Source organism: Homo sapiens, chromosome 18 (genome assembly GCF_000001405.40).
Source record: "Homo sapiens chromosome 18, GRCh38.p14 Primary Assembly".
In the NCBI taxonomy this organism is placed as follows: Eukaryota; Metazoa; Chordata; class Mammalia; order Primates; family Hominidae; genus Homo; species Homo sapiens.
In genome coordinates, this window is record NC_000018.10 from 8,922,613 (window position 1) to 8,927,761 (window position 5,149).

The 5,149-nt window shown below is 39.3% G+C and overlaps 1 annotated feature.

The window, feature by feature from the left end:
- Positions 3,805–4,005: a silencer, noted in NCBI's record as "peak3053 fragment used in MPRA reporter construct". NCBI's record gives its function as "represses an SCP1 promoter by STARR-seq MPRAs in K562 erythroleukemia cells {active_cell/tissue: K562}" and the evidence as "EXISTENCE:reporter gene assay evidence [ECO:0000049][PMID:32103011]".

Here is a 5,149-nt window from a genome sequence, read left to right on the forward strand (position 1 = left end):
AAGACCCTGTCTCTAAACAAACAAACAAAAAAAAAACTTAGCTGGGTGTGGTGGCATGAGCCTGTAGTCCCAGGTACTGGGGAGGCTAAGGTGGGAAGATCACTTGAGCTCATGAATTTGAGGCTGCAGTGAGCAAAGATCATGCTATAGCACTCCAGCCTGGATGACAGTGAAACTGCCTCAAAAAGAAAAAAAAAAGCTGTGTTGAAAATAACACAAGTAAATGCATGTCAGATAGTTCTGCACACGTGGTACAGGGGGGAAAAAATGCCATACTGCAAGATAGTTATTTCTTCCAGAGGCTAAAGCAAACCAGCTATTCACAAGAAGCACAACCTTGCCTGTTGCTGGGACCCGAGGGAAAGGCCTCAAGGCAGCTTTCCTCTTGGTACGGTCTCTGGCCAGCCTACATCTGGGCAGAGAATCACTGTATCACTGAGTCAGAACCAAAGAGGAATCATTTTAAAAGCCTATTCATTATTATAATATAGTTTTCTATTTAAAAATCAGAAAAATATTTTCAAAATAGGTTTTTTAAAAAATCCACAAAACCTGGCCATCAGAGAAATGCAAATCAAAACCACAATGAGATACCATCTCACACCAGTTAGAATGGCAATCATTAAAAAGTCAGGAAACAACAGGTGCTGGAGAGGATGTGGAGAAATAGGAACACTTTTACACTGTTGGTGGGACTGTAAACTAGTTCAACCATTGTGGAAGACAGGGTGGCAATTCCTCAGGGATCTAGAACTAGAAATACCATTTGACCCAGCCATCCCATTACTGGGTATATACCCAAAGGACTATAAATCATGCTGCTATAAAGACTCATGCACACGTATGTTTATTGCGGCATTATTCACAATAGCAAAGACTTGGAACCAACCCAAATGTCCAACAACGATAGACTGGATTAAGAAAATGTGGCACATATACACCATGGAATACTATGCAGCCATAAAAAAGGATGAGTTCATGTCCTTTGTAGGGACATGGATGAAATTGGAAATCATCATTCTCAGTAAACTATCACAAGGACAAAAAACCAAACACCGCATGTTCTCACTCATAGGTGGGAATTGAACAATGAGAACACATGGACACAGGAAGGGGAATATCACACTCTGGGGACTGTTGTGGGGTGGAGGGAGCGGGGAGGGATAGCATTAGGAGATATACCTAATGCTAAATGACGAGTTCATGGGTGCAGCACACCAGCATGGCACATGTATACATATGTAACTAACCTGCACATTGTGCACATGTACCCTAAAACTTAAAGTATAATAATAATAAAATTAAAAAAATTCAAAAAAGAGGCATCTTTAAATGAGGTCTCTTATTTATACCTTTGACTACTTAAACCATTAATACTGAGAAGTATTAGAACATAAAGTAAAATTTTTTTATCAGTATAATTAATTCATTCTTAGTATGTTGAAAACAGAATCCTTGGAGTTTGATGACCAAGTAAAGTTTCCATACAAGCATCATTTTTATTATCTTCTTTACATTTAAAAATATCTACTTTTAATAAGAAGTAGCATCATTTTAATAGTATGCTTGCCTTTTTGCAAAAGCTCTATTTTTATTTATTTTTAAATTTTTTTTTATTGAGACAGTGTCTCACTCTTGTCGCCCAGGCTGGAGTGCAGTGGTGGAATCGCGGCACACGGCAGGCTCAACCTCCCAGGCTCAAGCTGTCCTCCTGCCTCAGCCTCCTGAGTGGCTGGGACTGCGGGTATGCGCCACCATGCCTGTCTAATTATTGCATTTTCATTTGTCGTAGAGGCGGGGTTTTTTCATGTTGTCCAGGCTGGTCTTGAACTCCTGGGCTTCAAGCAGTCTGTGTCCCCCGGCCTCCCAGGGTGCTGGGATTGCAGGGATGAGCCACCATGCCTGACCCCAAATGTCTATTTTTAAACAGTTTTATCAAAATGTAAAGTGTATAAACACACATATTTAAAGGGTACAATATGGTATGTTTGTGACATGTAAATATTAACGCAACCTCACTTATGTTGAAGTTAGTGCATGTATTTGTAGAAGTTTCCTAGAGCTCCTTTGTAATTAATTCCTACCTCTCACTTCACTCCTCTTCCATGCCTTCACTATCCCTGAGGCAGTCGTGATCGTTAAACATTAGTTTGAGTTAATTTTTGTGTGAGGTATGAGTTGAGTTCCCTTTTTTTCATATGGATATCCAGTTGTTCTAGCATAATTAGTTGAAAAGACTATGCTTTCTCCACAGAATTGCCTTTGCATCATTGATGAAATCTGTTGTTCTTATGTGTGTATGTCTATTTCTGAACTTTATTATGTTCTATTAATTAGTTTATCTTTATGCCAATACTAAACTGTCTTGAATACTATAGTTTATAGTAAATCTTTGAATCAGATCATATGAATTTCATATGGAAATGTACAGAACCCAGAACAGTCAAAACAACTTTGAAGAATAAAATTAAAATTTGGAGTACTAACATAATCTGATTGACTTATGATATTTCTTCAAAAATAGAAATTAAACTTACTTGTTTCTTTAAAAACACAGGCTAGGATCTTGATTGGAATTAACTTGAATCTTGAGATTAGTTTGAAAAAACTGGCCGGGCATGGTGGCTCACACCTGTAATCCCAGTACTTTGGGAGGCCAAGGTGGGTGGATCTCAAGGTCAGGAGTTTGAGACCAGCCTGGCCAATATGGTGAAACGCCGTCTCTACTGAAAACAGAAAAAAATTGGCCAGGCGTGGTGGCGCATGCCTGTGGTCCTGGCTGCTTGGGAGGCTGAGGCAGGTGAATTGTTTGGACCCTGGAGGCGGAGGTTGCAGTGAGCCGGGATCATGCTATTGCACTCCAGCTTGGGCGACAGAGTGAGACTCTGTCTTAAACAAAAAAAAGAAAAAATTGACATCTTACCAATAGCGAGTCTTGTGACCCATGAACACAACATGTCTCAATTTATTTAGAATTTCTGTCACTAATGTTTTATAGTTTTTAGTGTATCGATTTTTCAAATGGTTATCAGATTTATCTCTATTTCATATTTTTGTTGCTATTGTAAATAATGTTTTCAACTGTCAATTTCTGCTTGTTTTATGTTAGTAAATAGAAATAAATTGATTTTTAAATTGAAAAAAAAAATCCACAAAACCCTTCTAGGCACTGGAGATACAGAGAAGACAATGACTCTTTGTCAGGAGGGTATACTATAATCTTTGGGGTATATAAAATTTCTTTGTTAATCAAAAGGATGAGAAATCAAAGCAAAGAAGTCTACTTCTAGTTAGACAATGTAGAGGAGGAGAAAAACTAAGATCTGTTCCTCACCCATTGCAAGGATCATGGCTGACACCCCTATAGCAAAGTATAGACTAATAAGAGAAAAGGTAACAAATTTATTTAACAGAGTTTTACATGACATGGGAGCCTTCAGAAAGGAAGACCCAAAGAACCAGGGAAAAGTGTATTTTTATGCTTGGATGTTATGAAGGACGGACAGTCATATAGAAATGTGATTGTACAAAAAGCAGGTATGACCTAATGGTACTAAACTGGAGGGAACTCAGCAAGGCCTGTCTGTTCAGGTGCTTCTTGGCCTCACTGACTTTTCCTCCAGGTATAGGGCAGGCCACCTGCACATAAGGGTCTTATGACCTCCTTCCAGGGAAGATAGATCAGAGAATTTCTTTATGTCCAGCTGTCACACAGAAAGGTTGGGGAAGTTCAGAGTAACCTTCTTGCTTCTGAGACCCACCCCATCATCTTCAGTTCAAAGAAGTTTGGGGTTGCGTTTTCTGAGCCCTGACAATGATTTAGTAGAGAGAACTCAAAGCATCAAACGAGAGCTGAACTTTTGAATACTAGAAAGTACCCTAGGAATTACATCATTAAAACCAGCAGTGGCACTCATCCCCAAATTCATATGGAATCTCAGAGACCCCGAGTAGCCAAAACAATCTTGAAAAAGCAGAACAAAGTTAGAGAAGTCACACTTCCTAATTTCAAAACTTACTACAAAGCTACAATAATCAAAACGGTATGGTACTGGCAAGAAGACAGATACATAGACCAACAGAATAGAATAGATAGCCCAAAAATAAACCCATGCATATATGGTCAATTGATTTTTGACAAGGGTGCCAGGATCATTAAATGGGCAAAGGACAGTGTTTTCAACAAATGGTGTTGGAAAAGCTGGACACTAAAGGGCACTAGGTTTTAGTGTGGCACTATGCCACCACAAATATGCCTTTTTGGCAGATGGATTGTCTCAAGCTAAGGCCAGTGAGAACACACAGACACAGGAAAAGCTCTAAAAACAGTGTGCAAGTTTTTCTTTTATTTTTTAAAGGAAACTTCCACTTGCAGAGATGATTTCCAAGCCCCTGTACCTGGAAGAAAAGGACATTTACTCTAATCAATGGAGATGGCACCAACTTAATTAAATCTGTATAACATACCTTACTAAACAATGATAATTTCACTGGTCTTGTTTCTATAACTTGCCTCTCCCACTCAGAAGCCCAAAGCCCCTTTTGTTTTAGCCTAAGAAGATATATGAACCCACGACCTAACCTCTCTTCTGAGTGATTCATCTCTGGGGACTTCCATGTGTACATGTGCAATGCACATGTTAATGAACTTCTGTTTGGTCCTCTGTCAATCTGCCATTGTCCAGTCTTATTTGCAGGACCCCAGCTGCAGAACCTAAGATGGGTAGAGAAAAATACATTTTTCCTCCCCTACAATATCCATATGCAAAAGAATGAACTTGGACCTTGCAACGTAAACAGAAATTAACTAAAAATGGATTAAAGGTCTAAATGTACGACCTAAAACTATAGAACACTGGAGAAAAGCTTCATGACATTAGATTTGGCAATGATTTCACAGGTATGACACCAAAAGCACAGTCTATGAAAAATAAATAGGCCGGGTGCAGTGGTTCACACCTGTAATCCCAGCATTTTGGGAGGCTGAGGCAGGCAGATCACTTGAGGTCAGGAGTTCAAGACCAGCCTAGCCAACATGGTGAAACCCTGTCTCTACTAAAAATACAAATAAAAAATAAAAAATTAGTGGGCATGGTGGCAGCTGTCTGTAGTCCCAGCTACTCAGGAGGTTGAGGCAGGAGAATTACTT